The following is a 22,776-nucleotide window of genomic DNA, read 5'->3' on the forward strand; positions in this document are numbered from 1 at the left end:
CCAAAAACTACTCACTGCAAATTTAGAAATACACTTCAAATTTATTTTTTGCTTAAATGCAGAACCACTATGGAAATTTTCACATATTTAGAATTGAAAGAAAGAAGAAGTTATCACCGTATTTAAAAAGAAGGCTATAGATTTAAGTGCATTTTCTAAAAAACAGGAGCAACTCATACTAGTGAAGAAGCTAGCTTTCAACTCAGGATGATAAAAAAAAACCCTAACAAAACAAATATTATGAAATAATACTAAATAAAAATCTGAGAAGAAAATATTAACAGTAAGTTAATAAAATGATAAAAGAGAGACCAAAAAGTTGACACATAAAATGAAAGAACTGGTTATGTGAAAAGAAAAAGATATCTGTGCAAATATAACCAAGAAAAACAAAAACAGATAGTCACTAAACATAGTAGCACGAACGGAAAAAGCTTCTAATTATAATTATAGTAACAGCTAACTCTTACTATATGCTTAATGATGTGCCAGGTGCTGTTTTCAATACTTTACATGTAATTAGCCTATTTAAACCTGACAACATTTTTAATGAGATAGGTGCTATCATTTTAATCTCCATTGTACAGATGAGGAAACTATAGCACAAAGAGTTTAATTAACATGCTGAAGATCACACACACCTGTGAGTGATGGAGCTGGTTCATCAACAGAGGCAGTCCAACCCTAGACCCCGTATTATTAGCCATCATTATCTTTACACTCCCTCCAAGATACAGAGAATATTTCAAGAAATATAGAAGAGGCTTTAACATTATTAGAAAATATCATGTTAAACTTTATTGCAGTAAATATAAAATTTTACATAAATAGGCACTTATTTTTTAAAATAACAATAGCTGGAGAAGATTTAGAAGACCAGTTACAAGACCTACCTACCCCTTTTCCCCTGACCCCTACTCTCACCAAAGGAGAGAAACTATTCTGTTTTACATGGGAGTTCTACCAAATTTTCAATACTAAGAAATTCCCATTTCATCCAAAATGTGCTAGAGCATTGAAACGGATAAAAAATTATTTAGTCAATTTTACAAAATACAAGTAACCATTGTAATTTCTTTCACTGGGGGAGGGCCCAGAAAGACTGCAGAGGAAGAGATGTTTCTAGGTCCTTGCATTATCTGAAAAAATTTTTAATTTGCCCTCACTTTTAATTGAATAAGATAAAAATTCTTTAGCCAATTTTACAAAACCTTAAACTGTAGCATAAGAAAATTAAAATCGTAGCTCAATATCATTATTATTTAGATACAAAAATCACACACGCGCGTGCACACTAACACACAGAGAAGTCAATAAATCGAAACCATCGTAAGTAGAGTTTATCTCAGAATTGGAAGAATAGTTCAAAATAGAAAATCTAGTAACTTTAAATAATCTAGTAGGTGCTAGAAAATTATTTCACAAGGTTCAACACTCACACATGATTAAGAAAAATAGAAACTAAAAAAAAGTTTCTTTATCTTGGTAACGTGTATCTATTAAAAAACCTATGGCAAAGGGCTTTCTCTTTGGGATACATTAGAATAGTCTTCACTGAAGCCAGGAATGTGAAGAGACGCCGCTGTCAATGCTATTATGTAACATCATTGAAATGAAAGGTCCTTGTTAATGTGGGACTCAGTATTTTAATAATGTCAGTTCTCCTAAAATAACATATGAACTTAACACAATCCCAATAAAAGCTTAATGATATTTCCCCAACTCTTGACAAGATAATTCTAAAATTCATATAAAACAGTGAATATACAAGAAAAACTTTCTCATTTGGAACAAAAGGGACTGTCTGCCAAATATAAGAATGCATTTCAACTATATTGATAAAAAGATTAGTGGCATTAATATAAGAAAAGGCAAATAAATCAATATAACAGAATATATATGTACATGTATGTGTATAGGTATATGCATACACACATGAAAATTTGGCATTTAATAAAAGGAACATTTCAATTCAGGGTAAAGTTTTTAGGACAACTGATTTGCAAATATTACTGGTTTTATTTTTTTAGATTAATATTTTATATTCAACAAATAACATATATATAGCATGTGCTATATTACTTTTCTGCACTTAAGAATATACTTAATACACTTAAATCTCAGTTTCCTGATCATCTCCTTAACCCTAATTAATACATGTGATAGGTTTATATTAACATTGTCATGAAGATCTTTCAGCTGCTTAATCATATTATTTGCCAGAGAATTAGTTGAGAACTGTTTCTTCCTTTTCTATTTTCTTGAAGAGTTCGTGTTGAGTTTGTCATTATTTCTTCCCCTAATGTTAGGTAGAATTCATTAGTGGAGCCACATGGGGCTGGAATTTTCTTTGTAGGAAGTTTTTTTAACTATAGATTTAATGTCTTTAATAAATATAAATCTCTTCTGTTATCTGTTTCTATGTAAGTGAACTTTGGCAGTGTCTTTTGAGAAATTTAGCCATTTCATCTAAGTCGTTGAGTTTATCAGCATAAAGTTTATCTCCTAGTAACACTTTAATATCTGTGTAATCTGTAGTAATATGTCCCTTTTCATTTCCCAAATTGGTAAACTGTGTCTTCTATTTTTTCTCTGATCAGTTTGACGAATGGTTGATCAATTTTTTTTCAAAGAACCAGCATTAGTTTCATGGGTTTTTTGGTTGCTTTCTGCCCTTATTTTACTATTCCTTTTTCTCTACTAACTTTGAGTTTAATTTGCTTTCTTTTTCCAGTTTTTGAAAATGAAAACTTAGAAAATTAATTTTGGATATTTATATTTTTCTAATACAAGCATTTTAATGCTATAAATTTCCTTTTAAGCACTGCTTTAGCTGTATCCCACAAATTTTGACATGCTGTGTTTTCTTTTTCATTCAGTTAAAATATTTTCTAATTTGACTTGTGATTTCTTCTTTGATTCAGGGGTTATTTAGAAGTATGTTGTCTTGCTTCCCAATTCGGGAAGATTTTCCAAAACTCTTTCTGCTATCATTTTTAACTTAATTTCATTCCTGTAGGAGAACACAGTTGGAAGGATTTAAATTGTTTAAACATGTTAAAATTTGTTTTATGGCCCAGACTATAATCTACTTTGATAAATCCTCCATGCACAGTTGAACATAATGTATTCTACTGTTGTTTGGTGGAATATTCTGTAAGTGTCAATTACTTAAGGTGATTAAAGGCATTGTCCAAGGCTTCTATATTCCTACTGGTTTTTCTACCAGCTATTGAAAGAGTGATGTTGGAATCTCCAACAAAAATTATGGGTTTTTCTACTTCTCCTCTTCTTTCTATCAGTTTTGGTTTAATGTTTTTTTGAAGTTCTACTATCAGAAGCACAAACATTTAGGCTTATGTCCTCTTGATGAGCCAACTCCTTTTATCATTATAAAATATCATTTTTTTCCATAGTAATATTTCAACTGCTTTCTGAAATTTTGAGATCTCTAATTTGTTTTCTCTCCTTCCTTATCATGGTAAGAATTTATTATCCTTTGTACTTCTGTGTGGCCATTTCAAATATAGAAAAGAAATGAGATTCGTCATTTATCTTGACCTTGACATTGATGTGGAAAAACCTTAAGCCAAACTAACTTTTGAGAAAACAATTCCCTTAATCAGCAATGCATTTCTTTGGCTACTTTGATTATAGGATAAAAAATTGTTTCAGACAAGCTTAAGTAAAATGATTTCATGGAAATCTGAATCATGATTGCAGAACAACTGAGTTCTGGTAGAACTGAACCCCAAGGGAGGTTCTGGATCCAGGGTAGTCCTGGAAATACTGGAAAAGTCTGAAAATTGATTTCAAATATATGTCATCCATTTTCTTTCCAGCTTATTCATTCCTTCCTCTCTTTGAACCATCCTTTTTTCTACTGCATTGCTTCTGCTTCTTTATAACAATAGATTGCCTTTGTCACATTACTTAACCTCTCCATGCCTTCGTCTCTGGGAGTAATAACAAGGGTTATTGTTCATAGGGTTGTTTTAAGGACCAGTTAACACAGAGAATAGCACACAATAATCATTTATTTTACCTGTTACTATCTTGTTTGAAAGAAAACTTAACGAGGATATAATATTTATGACAAGCTCTCTAAATAACTATTTTGTTGCATTAGGTGTGCACATTTTTCTTATATAAGATTATATAATAACTTTCTTTTGGAGCTTAGTATCAGGAAAAAGCTTGTCTCTCTTAAAGAACTGATGTATGTCTTTTCATCAGGTAATGAGAATTCTGTAGTCCTTCGCATCTTCCTTTTTGCCCAGTCTACCCAGAAGTTGAAAGAAAAACTTAATGTTCCCTCATAGTAACTGTAGTAATTCCAGTGGGGAGCATATTTACATACTTTATTTATTTGCCTTCTATTTTCTAGTTATAATCTGACAGCTGTGTAATACAAAGGTTTTTTTTTGTTTTTTGTTTTTTGTTTTGAGACGGAGTCCTGCCTTGTCGCCCAGGCTGGAGAGTGCAATGGTGCAATCTTGGCTCACTGCCCAGGTTCAAGCAATTCTCCTGCCTCAGCCTCCTGAGTAGCTGGGATTACAGGTGCGTGCCACCATGCCTGGCTAATTTTTACATTTTTAGTAGAGACAGGGTTTCACCATGTTGGCCAGGCTGGTCTCAAATTCCTGACCTCAGGTGATCCACCCACCTCGGCCTCCCAAAGTGCTGGGATTACAGACGCGAACCACCACGTCCAGCCTACAAAGTTTTAACTTTAAGTTTCTTTAATCCATTCTGGAAAGAAAGTCAACAAGCAAAAAAGTGTTATTTTATGTAAGTCAGAGGCCTAAAAGGTGAAGAAAACACAATCCTTGCTTTCAAAGACTCCAGTCTAGAGCAGAGTTCATTCCTTATGACAACCCACATTAAGAAAAAATACAAAAATTAGCTGAGTGTGGTGGTGCACACCTGTAATTCCACCTACTCAGGAGGCTGAGGCAGGAGAATTGCTTAAACCCAGGAGGTGGAGATTGCGCCACTGCACTCCAGCCTGGGCAACAGAGCAAGACCCCATCTCAAAAAAAAAAAAAAGAAAAAAAAAGACACTTACATTGCAGTTCAGCACATGTATAAATGTGAGTGTAATATATTAAACCAATATTTAAAAGCACAAATATGCAAAATGTTCCAATCAGTTTATAATTATTAACTCAATTAATTATAACTATTTTAGGAAACAGGTCCTATTATCATTATTTTTTTCAGATTAGGTAACTGAAGTACAGAAAGGTTAAGTAACTTCCCCAAAGTCAACCATTTACTTTGTTAATGAGAGTAAATCTGGGACTGGAGACCAGAGAGTATGGTTTAAAAATTCATGCTCTATTCCATTATACGTGGCAGCCTCCCAATATTTAGCTTTCCTCTATGCAATGCATTCTTTTCTATCCTATTTGTCTACACTCTCTTTCCATTTTTTAAATCCTGGCCATGACCCCCAAACCAATGGGTCAAAATCACTACCCACTAATGAGTCACAATCTATATACTATCTGTACTATAATACATACATACAACATACGTACATAGTATATACATGCATAGTATAGAACATACTATAGTATGTTAAATATTAATAAAGGGGAAATAAAACACTTGTACATGACTGTCAATGGCCATCAAGATAGTTCAAACAGGAGTTCTGCTCTCTACCAAGTGTTTCAAAGGAGGCCTCACAAAGCAGGAAACTGTTAAGTTGAAGCTGGAAGATAAAAGCTTGCCCAGTACACAAGGCATGAGAGAAAGCAGAGGGTTTTCCAGGCAGAACACATGTGCAAGGCTATGAAGGGGTAAAAGATCATGGGTTCTCATTCCTGTGAGGTGAGCTAAGCACTGTATGAATAGAGTACCAATGATGCACATACGAGCAGAGCAGCAATGGCCTCAGCTCTCTTGAAGCTTGTAGTCAAGTATAGGAAACAATTATACTGTATTGCAATGGCAATACAGTGCTATAAGTGCACTGGAGATTACAAGATAGTAGCAAGTTTATCTAATACAGTCGAGCCATTTAAGAATGAGTAAGAATCATGAGACAGTAAGGAGAAAAATCATTCTAGGCCAAGAGAATGGAAATACACTAAGAATGAGAGATGAGAGAAAACACAGTTTAATGAAGACCTGAGTATTTTCAGAGGCAGAATGGTATAATGCTCCAAAAATGAGTGTTAGACCCAGACTGCCTAGATTCAAAGTCAGCTCTTCTACTTATTATGTGTGTGTCCTTGGGAAAGTTACTTAGTATCTCTGTGCATCAATTTTTAGCTGTAAATTGAACTAATAAATACTTTTTGTGAATTAAATGAATGAATACATATGAGGCACTTAAAACAATACCTGAAACATAGAAAGTGCTCTACAAATATTAGTCATTACTATTATTTTTGCAAGAAGATGAATTTCAAAGCAGGAATGGAAGGAATTAAACCTGGAAACAGTATGCACAGGCTGGGATGAGACTGGCCTTAATTAAAAAGTATTTCTTGAGTGCCTACTATGTGGATACTGTTATAGGTGCTGGAGACTCAGCAGTGAACAAGACATCCCTCTAGTTGCTCAGGTCAGTTCAGAAGGAGTCATTTTTTATCTATTCCTTTACTAAGTTCCCATGTTTACTCCGTCGGTAAACTCTGATCTCTCTGTCACTTGAATATATTCTAAATTAGACCACTTCTCATCATTTCTACTACATCTGCCCTGATCAAGCCACCAATGTCTTTTGCTTGGGGTGTTCCCCAGTCAAATATCTACAGAGCACAACAGCCTTGAGTGATCCTTTTAAAATAAAGTGATATCATATCATTTCCCTGCATAAAATGAGCCAAAGGTTTCCTAGCATACTTAGAAGAAAATTTAGGCTTTTTGGAAATTATTCTGACCAAATAACTTTTATCCCTTAGGAACAATGTGAAGGGAATTTTTTAAAAATCCAAAAAGCATAAAAGAGATTTGGAAAGATTCTTATTGATCATCTAAGAGTTTTGGAAGATACTCTAGTAATTAATTAATAAGTAAATTAATAAACAATTTGTATTAATTTAAGGACAGAGGCAATCAACATTGGAAATTTTCCAGCAACACAAATCTTTCAATATATAAACCTAGACTAAAACAAAAACTAATAAAGCAAAACATATAATTAAAACTTTTCTAAAATATATTATTCATTTCCCTGCCATATGAAACAGAGTAAGGTCAACAAAAAAATGCTTTGTTATGAATTCTGTTATTTAATTTCAACACAATGTAAATACACTGAAAAGGGTGGCTGCAGGGCCCAGTCATGCCTTGCCCTTGTCCCCAGACAGTCTGTCCTTTTCACAGTGGCCAATTATTTTATCTTCCCCATGTCAGCTAGTATTTCAGTATTTTAGCTTCTTCCTTACAAATTTAATTTACCTAAAGTAGGAAAAACAGGATGCTTCCATGAAAAGCAATATAGGCAAGCTAGTTAAATAAGAAAACCTAATTTTATATACATGTCTAAGTCGACAGACTTGGCCTAAGGATGCCTCCACAGCCCTCCTTACAGTAAAATATGTAGGCTATTTTTCTGGAGCTTTTCTTTGTTGTGTCAAGGTTTGCATGCATATACTGATGTTGGTTAATATAAATCTGACATCTGAATTAGTGATGTGTTCCTGATATTCTTCTTATGAAGGAACTGTCAAGTTTTGCCTGCACTGTGTGGATTGCAAGGAAGAAGAGGAAGAAGCTTCTCTATTTGGGTTTTCTAGCTATACAGTATCTGTGATGTGCAATACAGCAAAGTGCAATAGAATAAGGTATGCCTGTATTTAATATGACTTAACATGCTTACACTTTGGTTTAAAGAGAAGCACTTAAAATATATTGAAAGATTTTTATATAGTGGTATGTAGAAAATTGGGATTAATAGTTAAAGCACAGAGCTTGAAGATGCTAATACACACATACATATATACACACAAACATGCACACATACAATATATATATATATATTTATGAAGATACACACTACATATATTTGTATGTGTGTGTGCATATATATATATATATATATATATATATATATATACACACATATATATCTTGATAAGTTGCCTTCCTAGATCAAAGAAAGGGTGATCATATTTTAAATGGTCTCAGAGAATCACTGAAATACAAACATGAAGTTTTAAAAGCTTCCAAATAATAAAAACTATCAAGGAAAAGCATCTCCTACAAACTTATATTCTCTTTTTTATTTCTTATAACTAGACATTTAAATGCTTTTATTTTAAAAGAGAATTAAAAAATAAAAATAAAAGAGAATGATAATGCTGTTCCCTTCTAATCTGGAGGTGGGCATCACCTGATTAAGCTTCCCAGAAAAGTCCCTGGTCTGGTAATATCTGTGGAAACCCTGGTGAAGCAAAAGAGTTCTTGTGAATCCATAACTTGGTTTTGCTTTAAACAGTGAGATGGTGATGCTGGTTATTACAACATCTCCAATTTCCAATATAGAAAACAGAACAGGATACGGGTATAGGCCAGGGAGATGATTTCTCCATAGTTGCAGTAACCTCAGTAATTTTAAGGATTGTTTTTTAGCCATAATGGAGACTTGAAAAGGGTCTAAATAGTTTTTAATCTTCCCTGTTTTCTTAATACAGAAAGAAGACACTATCAAAGACAAAACTCAACATAATAAAACCATCTTGCCCCATACATTGAGAGTGATGTGGCTGGATCATTGTTTATCCCACTGACTGACAGTTCTGGCTGATTCATCCTCTGTGGTACCTGTGTGCTTGTCTCCTTTTATCTTTTTTTATTTATCACTTTGTCCTATGACACTGAAAAAGGAATTTCCCAAATGGTTTTTAAATAGAGAAGTGCATTTTGCACTGTGGTTTACGGGCTATTGTAGGAAGAACCACATCCTTCAGCTATATTCTTTGTATTTCTAAAACTGCGAGTTTATCTGTACATTTCTGAAAAGTTTTTATTACAACTTGAAATTTTCTTAAAAAAACTGGCTGGGCATGATGGCTCACAGCTGTAATGCCAGCACTTTGGGAGGCTGAGGTGAGAGGACTGCATGAAGCCAGGAGTTGAAGTTCAATCTGGGCAACATAGTGAGACCCTGTCTCTACAAAAAAAAAAGTCCCCTCACTGATTAGTATTATAAGTTTGAAATATATGTTATTTAAAACTCTGCCTTTAGAACATGATGAAAATGATACTTAGTACGAAGCAAAAGATATAACTATACATAAAGAGAAATGATAAATTAATATCACTACATAAATCAACACATTAAGTTAATGCAAAATATTTAGGTTATTTATACTATTAATAAATGCTTAAAAGCCAAAGAAAAATGAGCAATGATAATTAATAATAGTCTGAATTGAGTGTCGTCTACACGTGTTTCATATAGAGAATCTCATTTACTTCTTGTAAGAATTTCTTGTTAGTATGCTCTCCAAATAGTTGTGGAAAGCAAAGATTGGAGAAAGCAGGTAACCTTAAGACAATACAGGTATTACATAACAAAGCCAAGTTTTCAACCACAGAAGGAATCAGCTCCTATAATAGCCAGAGCTGCTAGTCATGATTCCCATGCTTTCCTCTTAGAGACATCTTTTTTTAATGTCTATTAGAGCTGGTAAGCTTAAACACCATATGTGAAAATAGCATTTTAAAGCAAACTCCTAAAGGACACAAAGATATAAACGCCTAAGAACTTGGCATTTCTATGTTCTGTTGACATTTGAAATCTTTTCTTTTATCTCTATATTTGGTTTTGGTGAAAATTTGAGACCATTTTTTTGTACCTAGTGAACATTGTTGTTTTATTCTGTCTTGTTTTGTTTTTAAAAAAGCTCCTTCCAACTACATTTTTTAAATTCCCCAATTTTAAACTTTACTGATATCAGTCTTTTCCCCCTTCTTCTTTCTGCTTTTTCTTCTTCTTCCCTTCCTTCTCTTTCTTTTCTTTCTTCCTTTTCCTTTAAATCATGGCAAAACGATCTTTTCATTCCTGGTTTCACATCCTAGAGATCTGATCTCGAAGACAATGCCAGAATTTTTTCAAAAAGAAGTGGCAATTCCTTCTCTCTTCCCATCTGCATTCTCTGTAATCGCTTATTTTTAAAAAAATTCATGAGAAAGAAGAAATTTTCTCTTCATTTTAGAGCACCAAAATCTTCTTTTCCTAGCAGGAAACAGGGGTTCTTCCTTCTCCTGCCCACCTATCTCTGTCTCATCTGGAGATTAGTCATGTAAACATTTGCTTGGCAACTGACTTCTTCAGGAAGTTAATTTACAAACCTCCATAGAGAATTTATTACTTTACCAAAGAGCAAACTTTTTTAAGAGAAACCAAAATGATTTCACAAACATTTTCAAAAGTAAACAAAAATGAATGAAGCAGAGGAAGAGCACACTTGAAAGGATCTAACTTCCAATAAAGAATTATGAAATATTGTATCTTAAATAAATGGCTTCATCTTGCTCCATATGTTTGAGTGCCAGGGCATTGTGCAAATCCAGAAGGTAGATTTGCATATAAAAAGTATATTTGTAGTTCATAAAAGCATCTTTGGACAAAAATTTTGAGATTCAAGATAAAAACCTAATCTGCAAAAAACAAAATGTGGACTGGCAAAACACTAATTTACTTTGAGTAAGTATAATACAATTCAAAATGAGGCAGGAGAAAAAGGCTTTAAAAGATATGAAAGTAGGCCAGGCGCGGTGGTTCACGCCTGTAGTCCAAGCACTTTGGGAGGCTGAAGTGGGTGGATCACAAGGTCAGGAGATAGAGACCATCCTGGCCAACATGGTGAAACCCCGTCTCTACTAAAAATACAAAAAAAATTAGCCAGGCGTGGTGGCGGACGCCTGTAGTCCCAGCTACTTGGGAGGCTGAAGCAGGAGAATGGCTTGAACCTGGGAAGCAGAGCTTGCAGTGAGCTGAGATCGCACCACTGCACTCCAGTCTGGGTGACAGACCGAGACTCCGTCTCAAAAAAAAAAAAAAGATATGAAGTAAATTGTTCTTTGTTTCTTTACAGCCCAAACTCACTGAATATAGTAATGAACAGTCCTAACTGCCACTAAGCTTGCTGACAAAGTGATGCTCAATAAACATCCACTGATGATGCTAAAAATAAGATGTTCGGAAAGAAAGTAATATCTTAGAGATGCCCACAATTTTGAACCAAATATATCCTTCTGCATAATAGAACTTCATATCTGAAGCAGAAAATAATATTGAGCAGATTAACACACTCTGTCCCCAGATGATTTTGTTTCCTCACATACATAGCTAAAGCTGTAAAGTGCCCTCTAGAAATGTTTATTTGAATCTATAAATGACTCTTTTATTACTTAGCTACTCAAAGTAATTATGATATGATAATAAGTGATATTTTAAGTTCTTTTTGAAAACAATAATGCATTCTGATAATATTATACAGAATTAAAAATCCGAAGTACAGAAGTACAGAAACTCTTCGGACATGACTGTCTGTACTTGTTAAAGATCAGTTAGATAGTAGCAGTGAACCATTTGAAGTTCACTGCTAAGTCAAATTTGACTTTGAAGTTTAAAGTCAAATCATCATTATCAAATATGGAATGTGAATACAATGGATTTGATTTTTTTAAATGCACCTATAAGGCACAACAATAATCTAGTCACTTAGAAAGTAACGAAGCATACTGAAATTTCTTCTGTGAAGGTAGATGATACAAAACCCAGAAGCCTTTTGCCTTTGAACGATTCTACCATTCCCAAGTAAAATAAACCCCCATCACTTGGGTTTGGCCATTCCAGTGACAACTACATGTTAGCTTATCCTGCTTGCTTACTCATTTACATTGTATTATGAGGTCAAGAAACGGCTCACTGTGGAGGTCACATTCAAGTTGACACCTGCATAAGAAGAAGTGTCAGCAATAAGGCCACATTGGGAGTAGAGAGTGGTGGAGAGAAAGAGAGAAGGTCAGAGAGGTCAGTAAAGTCCAGACCATGCACAGCTTCAGGTCAGGTGAAGAATGGGAAGCTATTGGCAGATTTTAAGCAGGGGAATGTCATGATCTAATGTTTTCAAAAGACCACTCTAGCAGGAGTGTGGTGGAGTGAGAGTGGGTGTGGGAAGAGCAGTTATATGACCATTTAAGCGATCTTAGCAGACATGATGGCAGCTCTGCAATGAAGACCAGGAGATGAACACGGGATACATTTTGGAGTTGTAGCTGATCGGGCATACTGATGGATTAGAGGGGGGTAGCAGTAAGCAAGGTAAGACTCAAGGCTGCCTTGATGTTATTTGCTGAATGGAGGAAAGGCTGTGGGACGAATATTGGGGATAAGAGAGGAGTAGGGGTGAAGCAAGAGTCCAGTTTTGGGTTATATTAACCTTGGGATGTCTGTGATATATCCAAGTAGACACATCAAGGAGGCAATTGGATCTAAAAACTTTCAGCTTGATGGAGAGGCCAGTGCTGGATTTATAAATTGAGTAGCCGTTGGGTTATTGCTAATGTTTAAAGCTGTAAGACTGGGTCCAGGTTGAGAGTGTGGCTGAAGTGCACCTAGGACCCAGCCTTTGGGCACCTCACCACTGAGAGTTTGGAAAGAGAAAGCAGCCTGCAAAGAAGACTGAAGTGCTCCAGTGTGGAGAAAAACCACAGAATATGGCATCCCGAAAGTCACAAGCACAAAATGTTCAAGAAGATGAGAGCGTTCAACTTGGTCAAATGCTGTGAAGACATCTAGGAAGCTGGGAACAGAAACATAACTATTAGATGTGATAAAAATAGGGGTCATGGGTGACCCTAAAGAGGCATTTCAGTAAGTATGGGGGCTGGAAACCTATTTAGAGTCAACTGAGGCAAAAATGAAATGTGAAAATATTAAGACAGCACTTTTCTTGCTGTCTTGGGTAGATCAAAATGGGGTAGAACCTGGAAGGGGATAAGATGTCAAGAAAAAAGTTTGAGTAGAAATGAATACCAGTGAGATCGATCCAATGAAAAAGGAGAAATTGATGGTGTAGGAGAAAAGCAAATTTAACTGCAGGAGGTTAAGTCTTGGGAGCAGGTAAGGGGATGAGATGCAGAGCACAAGCAGAGGGACCATGCTTAGATGACAGTAGGAACTCTCCACCCATCGCATTGGGAGGAAAGTCACAGCATGTGAGTTTAGGTTGGCATATTTTGGGGTACATGATGAGAGGTTATTTTGAAACTAGACAGAGCATATGTGTACTATGGGATATCAAAGCCAGTGTACATCAATTGTATTAATGAGTATACACAAATATATCGATCACCATCTTAAAGACACGAATAAGGCAGTAGAGAGAGGGATTTGAGGATATATCTTAGACATTGTTTTTGCCTGATTTGATTCTTCCATTTCTACCCATTACATTTTCATATACTGAAGATCTATGACTACCAGTTAGATAATTTTATAATGCAACCAGACAGGGAGCCAAACTCAAAATCTATTTTCCTTGAGAAGTTCTATCCTATCGTCTTAGTCTTCTCTGATTTTTTCTTGACCTCTAGGCTGCACCTCACGGTACAGCCGGCACTCGATCATTTCATATTTGTCTCCTGCTCATAGGTCTTATTGTCTCAAATAGATGTTAAGGCTCCAGGATGGGGCCAAGTATTTTACAATAAAATATCATTGTCTCTCCCACTGTGAAAAACCTAGTATTAGATATAAAGTGAGTACTTAATAAATGTTTGTTGATCAATTTATCTTTTTAGAGCTGAATGGCTATAAAGAGTTTGATGCAGTAATTCCCTGGCTAACAGACTATGCATAATTCTTCATGGCACCTGCTGGGCATTGCTGGGAGATGCTGAAATCATTCATCAATTTTCTCCTTTTTATGCTATTCAATTAGTCTGTCTAGGGCAAGGTCTAGAATGTGTATCAATCAAAAGCATAATAATGACCTGTGTACAAGCTATCTCCATACTAATGATTTGCATCCACTATCTTACAGAAAGAGCTTTGGTCTAAGAAAGCACTGAAGTGCAGGAAACTTTAAGGAGAATATTGTAGTAAGGCCTGAGAATTACCCAGAGTTACTGTTGTCAATAGTGTAATGATGAATTTGAAATCAATTTGGCAGTATCTTTAGTGGAAAAATAATATTAAGAGAATACTCATCACTATAGCCTATTTTGCATTGTCTTAGATAAAATTTTTCTTCAGCCTGCACTGAAAACTTAAATGTCAGTAGACTTTTAGTATATGGACTTCTAGTTTGTTGAAATTATGTGTAGCATGTTTAGTTTTTAATTTAATTCCAATTATTAAGCCAATTAAAACTATTTGGATATAATATTTAAATCAGAATCCAAATACGGCATACATATATTTTTCTTTTAAGAAGTAGTTGTACTATAATACAATATTGGCCTTAAATTTTATCTAACAGTTTATCACGGAAAGTTAAATAATTAATCATCAGAATAGCATTTAGCCAAAAATCCCACGTACCATATACATGGTAGTCTATAGAGCTCTGCAGAAGTGAGTGATTACAGCTACTGTAAAATTTTGTCATTCTATAAAGTAGTTATTGACAAAATAAATGACTGTGTTTTTCCATGTTATATGCAAATTGACAAAGATAATATCTGATAAAATGGAAAACACCAAGAGACTTAGAACTTTAGAATATATCAAACCTACACCAAAATATCATTAGCAACACCCTTTCAGTAGAATCCCACAGCATTAGACAAATTAATAGAGAGAATCTTTTACAAACATTTGTTGCATAAAATATTTTAATTGAAACAATTAATGAATTCCATAAGATACGTGTAAATTTACAAGATTTCCATTTTTCAATACTTACATGAAAAGATGTGATAACAGAGCCACTAAGTATAGGTAAGAAATATTAAACTTGTTTAGCTATTATTCTAAGTTTCTATTCATTTCTCACTAACCTACATTGATTTTTGTACTGCTTTTATTCATCCCATAAATTAGATTCTAACTGGTGATAAAATGTCAAAGTTTGTATCGTTCATCTAAAAAATAAATCTAGACAATTTGGAATTATTTAAAAATTAACCAATAAAGTATGATCCATTGGTTCTTTTGTGAGTGCTTGGGTGGAAAAGGAGACATATTAGTACATTAGTAAGGTGTTTCTTTTTCTTTAATCACCAGGAGAAAAGATATATAAATCTGTTTCTTAAAGCTTTTTTCTTTCCCATGGAGACAACACACCTTAAAATGAAGGTTAACAAGCAATTAATAGCACAGACTTAACTAAATATTGCAAATGTGATAGTATAATATCTTGGTAAATATGGGAATTTTGAGAGCCATAAAATTAAAGACTTTGATATGTGTGAGATCAATAGACATGACTTATCACTATTTAATATGAGCTTTAATTTTTAAATGCCATGTTCCAATGAAAAAGTATATTACACAGGAAAATTGAAATTTCAATAAAGAATCAAGACAAAAGAAACAAACTTTATATTAAAGTACCTTTAAAGGTTGTACTTACGCAGCAACTTCCTCTTTTGATAATCCTTTGAAATTTACCTCTAGATAATGATCTATGTCATCTTTTTCTTTGATCAATTGAGACCTAAATGAAATAGAAAGAAATAATAAAGCACAGCCTTATCAAGTTGAAAAGCTACCAAACACATAAAATGCCACCAGGAGAATAGAAATATTCAGGGTATAATACCATATGTAATAAACGCAATAGCTATAGAGTTAGGTCGTTGGTTGATCATTTCAAAATTTTATCTTTCCTGAATGGAAAATGATAAGGAAGAATATTAAACCCAGTGTGTAAACAAATAAAACACCAACACCTTGAAATAATTCACTTTCTACTCAAGAGTCTTCTCAAAGCTTACAAGACCTTCTATTTTGCTCACATTTTTTCGTGGTGTAACTTTCCAACTGCTGAAGTTATATATTGTTTGGCACAGAATCCTGAGCCAAGAACACCTGTTTGATTCAAATGTGTAACGTGAATTTATTCCAAACATTACTCAATTTTGTCCTGAAATGTTCTTTGAATAGTTTTTTTAATCACACATAAAACTCAAATTATTAAAGGTTCAAGGTGCAAAATGATTTTAAGAAGCCCTTATTGAAAATGTATTATACTTGTAGTGCGTTCATTCTTCACACCCTTTTGCACCTTTAAAAATAAGCATGCTATCAACCTCTCATAACTATGATGATTGATATGGAACTAAACAAATATCAGTGTTTTATTCAGAAGCTATTAAAGAATGTTGATACAAACTTTGCCTTTTGTGGGTATGATAAAAATATTTTTCTTCAATAAAATGAATACAAGAAAACGTTTTCTTTAAAACTCATCCTAACCTAAGGATATGAGATTTGGCTATGCTTTTGCTCACCTTGAAAACAAAATATAAATTAAATCCTTTAAAAAGACAGAAAGAATAAGCTTTTTCAGACTTCATAAATATTTTACATTATTCAAAAGTAAAACAAAAATATGTATGTATATATATTATAGTGTACACACATGAATTATGCATTCATTGAAAGATTTCTCCGCTATAGGAAAAGAAAATTTTGATTTACTATTTTTAAAGAATTTTTATGTTAGTTTAGCTGAATGTATTTATTTTGTTCCAGGGGCTTTGGTATTTCCTAGAAATACTAAAAATGAGGCATGAGAACAAAGAAACCTCCTAATACTTTGATCATTATGCCTTGCAGGAATGGAAAAGTAGGCATATAAAGAAAATAAACCTACGTATGCAAACTATTTATATTGGTAACTAATATGTATGTTACTAAAAGTCAATAGAATTACAAATGGCAATTTCAAAATAGCACAATCAGTTAATATGATAATTATGACAAAATGTATCAATTTCTCTGTCCTGCATTTCCTCAGTGACAATTTGAGTAGCTCAGCAGCCATTCATGGGCAGCAGCAGTTTGATGATGCATTTTCAAGCCCCAGCATCATTTCAGGAGCTGATTCTTGCCTGCCAATCTACCCTACAAGTAAGGCTCTACCCTCCTTCTTCCAAAACAGAAGTCAGCCCTTGGGACCTTGTAGATTAAAAGCATTACACCTTTCAGTCTGGGCATGGCGGCTCATCCCTACAATCCCAGCATTTGGGGAGGCCAAGGCGGGTGAATCACTTGAGGCCAGGAGTTCAAGACCAGCCTGACCAACATGGTGAATCCTGTCTCTACTAAAAATACAAAAACTTAGCTGGGCATAGTGCTGCGTGCCTGTGGTCCCAGCTACTCAGGAGGCTGAGGCACGATAATTGCTTGAACTCAGGAGGCAGAGATTGCAGTGAGCTGAGATCACACCACTGCACTCCCGCCTAGGTGACAGAGTAAGACTCTGCCTTAAAAAGAAAAAAGCTTTACACCTTTCATTCCCAAAGCTTCTGCTTTCTGTTCTCCATACACATTTAAAACAGGAAACTTATCTCCAAAACTCTACGGGAACCATGATATAATTGCAACAGGAAATAAAATGATGAAATAAGCACTAGGTTAATAAATAAATAAATATATTTGCAGTATTTGAATGTGGTTCATAAATCCTTTTGAAACAGCAGATTTCAATATTCTCAATATAACAAGGCATTTTTCTCTTCTCTTGAAATGATTTTATTTTCTGAGATACATTATTGACATTTCTTATTACAGAAAATTCCTTCTGTAGGAAAATAAGTAAAAACCAGGGGCACGTACCTTGGAATTTTTCTGGAGGAGCAAGGCAGCTTCTGTCTGGCTAAGGCTGTAAGCTTCGGGCGTGTCATGGGCAGTGGGGGCAGGGTGGTCATTTCGGACTACAAAAAGAAATAAGTAGAAATTGTATTTTAAGGAATAAATCTTTCAAAGGATCCTTTAAGACATTATTAGAGATTTACAGTCTGTCATCTTAGTTGAGAATGCCTATGTGTAGTGCTACAGCTGTGTTATTCGGGAATCATGCTCAGTGAGTGGATTCTGCAGGTTGCTTCTCTCATTATTTTCTTCCATTGTCTGCTTTTTGGCCAACTTATTATTTGTCTGTATCTTCAGCACAAAGTAGATAAGAAGAAAATTTGATAAATGCATTGATGGTTCAGTTGGCATCTTTGGTAAGAGTTTTGTAAGGGACATGATTGCAATTAAAGAATAAAGATTTTAAGGATAGCTATGGATTTCCAATGTTTATGTGTTGCTTTCCTGTTACAATCAATAATTGAAAATTGCTTATACTTGCTGTTTTCTAAAAGCCTTATCGCTCACAAATAAAGGCTTTCCCTTAGATGTGATAGATGATAAGAACAATTCTCAACAAGGAGACAGCTACCCTGAGAAAGCACACAGCCATAACAATATAATGAATCACTTCAAAATGTACTGTTTTTTAAAAGTTGTTTAAAACAACTTTATCTCACACTTTACATGGTTCAGGAATAAGGACAGGGTATCATAGGCATGGATTTTTTCTCCTCCATGATGATGGGAGCCTCTGCTGAGAAAACTCAGAAGCTGTAGTAACCCAATGACAGGGGACAGGAATCACCTTGAAGTGTCTTCACTCACTTTTCTAGTGGTTGATGCTGTTAGCTGGGACTCAACTGGGGCTATCTGCCAGAACTCACACATGTGGTCTCCTCATGTGGCATGGACTCCCTCACATCATGGCAACCTAAGACTTCTTATATAGCAGCTCCAGGCTCCAAAGGCAAGTATTTTAGAGAAAAGCCAGGCAGAAGCTTTATCCCCTTTTAGGGTCTAACCTTGGAAGTCACATAGCATCCACTTCTACTGTAATAACAAGTTCACCCAGATTCAAGGCAAATGAATACAGAACCACCTATTGATAGGAGAGTGTCAAAGTTTCATTATAATAAAAGAATATGGCATGGGAGATATTATTGCAGCCCTTTTTGGAAAATGCAGTGTGCCAGAGTGGTGAGCAATTAGGAAGGCAAGTCTATAAAATCAAATTATCTAAATCCTATTCCAAAGAGGAAGAAGTGTGGACATGACATCTGTGAACTTAGAATAGAAAAATTGTTACATGGTGCAAGGGCTGTCAGATACAAAAGAACCCATGCTTCTGTTAAATAGAGAGGCATCCAAAAGGCCAGGGGCTCCTGATCCCACCCCGTCTATGTCCACCAGGTTTGACCTGTACTCTTAGCTTCACCAAGAAGCTGAAAGGCTTGTTTTAGGTTTTAAATGGCTTATCTTCAGCATTACTACCTGTGTGACCCAGGGAAAATCACAATAAAATCTGGGCCTTGAATATATTCAGCAGATATTTAATGAGCTCCTATTTGGTGCCAGGCACTGTTCTAGGTGCCAAAGATACAGCAGTGAAGAAAAAGACAAAACTCTCTGATTTCACAGACTTTGCAGTATGGGGGTAAATAGGGAGAAAGACACTAAACAAATAAGCAAAATATATAGAACCTCAGATGTTGATAAGATTCTCTGCTGGAAAACAAAGCAGAGCACTAGAAACTACCCAGATGCTCACCAATGGCAAAGGGATGAGTAAAAGCAGAAGGAGACAAGCTCAAAGACGTTATGGAGAATTTTGTTCGGTGTCCCAATAGTGTAATGTCTTGATGGTTACTCTAAAAACTGGCTTTTATTCTTATTGAGGTAAGAATCCATTGGAGGATACAGAGCATAGAATTGACACGATCTGACTTGCATCCTGAAAAAATCACTCTGAGTTTTTCTTTCAGGTTAGACTGTAGTGGGGGAAAGGGTAGACAGCAGAGAGGCCAGCCCAAAACCTCCTGTGAAATACAGGGGAGAGAGAGTGGTGGCTTAGGTAGGAGTAGAGAAGGAGAGATGTAGTCAAACCTGAAATAGAACCACCTGTGGATAGCTAAGACACAATATTCCTCTAGTGCTACAAAGCCATGGTGGAGGTAGGGGTGCAGAAGCACTAAGACGAGAGAAAATCTTCTGAAATTCAGTGTAGAAATAGACAGCTTTGTGTTACTGAAAAAGATTATTATCCTGGCCTAAAAATAATTTTTTACATAATTAAAGAGAATTCTAATGGAGATCAGTGGTTTATTTTAAATATAACAGAATCCTAGTACTACCAGTTTATCAAGGCATGATATGATCTATGAAACAAAATGCCCACTTATTTTATGCAGTTAAGGCATTAAGAGTGGAAGTTAATGAACATTAATTGGAAAGCAAAGGGTCTACCCTTTAAAGGGTCTATGCTTTAAAGTGCACAATCTAAACAGCAAATGTTAGTCCTCTCCTACAGACTAAACATTAGAAACATACTATATTACCCTTTATAACTTCATAACGTAATGACAATTTTTTTAATTTAAAAAATCTATTTTTCTGATTAGATGTTATATTAAACAGTTGAGTTACTGGAATAACAAGAACTTACTAAATGGCAGCATCATACAGAGCATATGGTAAGAAGTTATAACTCATGTGAGGTTTGAAGGGACACCAAAGCTCCCCAAACGGGCCTCCCAAGAGCTTACTTCAGAGGAGCTGTGAAGACTTTTCCACAGAGTTCCAGAGTCTTCCAATGTTACAGTGAACATCGGAATCATCTAAGTTCTTAACCCACACCAGTGTAGCCCTAGTAAATTTAAAAAGGGAGAGAAGAAAACAACTAAGTTTGCCTCATTTGGGGCATTCCATCCTCTATAAATTTTAGACTCTTTTCTAAAAGCCCCACTTTACTTGCCAAAGCATTATGCAGTGGGCACTGGGGCCAGGGTAATCTCTTCATAATTGCAGGGGTCTTTGAAGAGTTCACCCAGGAGCTTCAAAATGAGGAACAGTGCTTGCAATTTCCTTGAATACTAAGAACATCCAGCTATTTGTAGACAGATAAAAGAGAGCAGCCCCCAGAGGTGCTGATCCAGCCAAGATAGCTCATCCAGGTGCGTATAACTCCCCACCAAAGTTGGCATACCAGCATGTTATATAAAATTTATCCTTTTTGATGTTTACTTGAGTTCGATGATTTTTGTTAGAAAATGTAAGCATGGAATAGAAACCAAATGCAAATGACATACATGGAGAGGGATATGTCTTCTTTGTCATACAGATCAACTGTGCTTTTTTTTTTTTTTTTTTTTTTTTTTTTCAAAATTCTGAGTCAACGTTTCCTACCATTAAAGTTTCAGCTGCCAGTTCCTTCATTTTGCTCTCCTCTGATCTGAGAACATTAGCAGCAGGAGCACCTTTACTCTTAAATTTAGTTTAATGTAAGTACTGCAAGCCCTGCTGGCAAGCCTCAAGGCACAAACTCTGAATGGGGGGTGGTCAGAGCTGAATGATAAAGTGGAAAAAAAGTTATCAGAGCTGAATGATAAAGTGGAAAAAAAAAAGCATGTTGGAAAAAATATCCCTCAATCAATCTATGTTGGACAGTTTAAGCTTAGAGTCAGGATGGAAGTTGAACAGGCTTTCTCTTTGTTTCTGAACCCCACATCCTACCTTACCTATGCCCATCGGGAAAGTGAATTTTGTTTCTCAGAATCAATACGTGGCCACATAAGGTATTTTGTTTTACACAACAGATAATGTGTGATCTGAATTTTATGACAGAGTTAATATTTTGAATGCAGCAAATATTTAAAGGGGTCCTGTAACAAATTAGTTTCTTATCTAAGTAATTGCCATCTTTTATGCCTTACAAGTTCAAGCAGGGTTTGCAGTACTTCCATTAAATTAAATACCTGTAAAGAAAGCCTTTTGGTCTTTGTTAATATGAGTTGCATCATTTTCCTGGTGTTGGTCAGACAGCATTCTCAGTTCCCATGTGAGCTCCAATTTAGACTCAACAATGAAGAATGGGACTAGTGCTATGAGGTGACTGACCCAGGCCTGTAGCATAAATGGAGCATATCACCACTAGTTATGGCACCTCCTTAGGGTTCTCCCAGATCAACATCTCAGGGGAAAACACACAAGATGGTGTGGCTGCAGGAAGGGAAATTGCTCAGGTTCAGGTGAGTAAGAAAGAAGAAGAATGAAAGATACCTCTTTGGCTGCTACCAAATGAGCTTAGCCCCAGGAGCTCAGGCTGAATCAGCCTGTTAGGAGGACCCACAGGAACCTCCGCCAGTGCTAGCAAGTGGGCAGTGCTACAGTGTGGCATCATCGGGTGCTGAGACAAAGATCAAAAGGCCGCCTGAAGCCATTCCACTGTTGGTATTCAGAAGAAATTTGGTGTACTCTTTGATCTGCTGGTTGGCTCTTGTATCACAGCTACAATCTCTAAGTTTGGCCCCCACATGCAAAGACAAATGAAAATGGAGAAATACAGGATGAAAGGTTTGAGAGTGCTAGGTCAGGCTGAATGTGTCCCATGGTGTGAGCTTAAATTTTTGGCCCCCAAGTAAAATTCTTCAAAGAGTAACTCTCCTGCCCTCTATCCCCAGAGATGCCTTTATCAGGAAACACAAAGGAGGGAGACCTACTACTATGTAAATGGAGGCTACTTGGAGAATGACTATGTCTGAGGCTGACCAGTGTCTGCAGGGTTCAGTCACTTTGGAGTAAAAACTGAGATTAGAGAAATAAAGCCAGTAAACCACAGTAAGCAAGTTTATTATACATCATCACGAGTTCAAAACAAGTAGGATTTTACTAAAAATCATTCATAAGAATTAAAACTTTTCATATTATCCAAGCTCTTTTACTATGAAAGTTTAATGAAAACTACAGAAGAAATATCACTAATTATGCTCCCTAAGTAAAAAAAA

General features: G+C 35.4%; 1 protein-coding gene and 1 long non-coding RNA gene across 16 annotated transcripts in view; one reads left to right on the forward strand and one right to left on the reverse strand.

The window, feature by feature from the left end:
- Window positions 1–22,776, reverse strand: part of TTC29 (tetratricopeptide repeat domain 29) — a 239,248-nt gene that overhangs the window by 215,429 nt on the left and 1,043 nt on the right. For 9 of the 13 annotated variants that reach the window (XM_006714339.3, XM_006714336.2, XM_005263270.2 and 6 more), the window contains exons 3-5: window positions 20,539–20,639; window positions 17,759–17,856; window positions 15,549–15,632 (exon numbers count right to left, since the gene is read on the reverse strand). In XM_006714339.3, coding sequence (XP_006714402.1) covers window positions 15,549–15,632; window positions 17,759–17,856; window positions 20,539–20,610 — 254 coding nt within the window. In that variant the 5' untranslated portion in view covers window positions 20,611–20,639. Of the gene's footprint in view, window positions 1–15,548; window positions 15,633–17,758; window positions 17,857–20,538; window positions 20,640–22,051; window positions 22,289–22,776 lie in introns of all 13 variants that reach the window. The other 4 variants (NR_133922.3, NM_001317806.3, NM_031956.4 and 1 more) reach the window with 2 other exon arrangements.
- TTC29-AS1 (TTC29 antisense RNA 1) overlaps window positions 11,959–22,776 on the forward strand; it is a 41,452-nt gene continuing 30,634 nt past the window's right edge. For all 3 annotated transcript variants that reach the window (NR_188447.1, NR_188445.1, NR_188446.1), the window contains exons 1-2: window positions 11,959–12,292; window positions 20,801–20,946. This is a non-coding gene — a long non-coding RNA (TTC29 antisense RNA 1). The remainder of the gene's footprint in view (window positions 12,293–20,800; window positions 20,947–22,776) is intronic.

This window comes from Homo sapiens, chromosome 4 (genome assembly GCF_000001405.40).
Source record: "Homo sapiens chromosome 4, GRCh38.p14 Primary Assembly".
NCBI classification, from domain to species: Eukaryota; Metazoa; Chordata; class Mammalia; order Primates; family Hominidae; genus Homo; species Homo sapiens.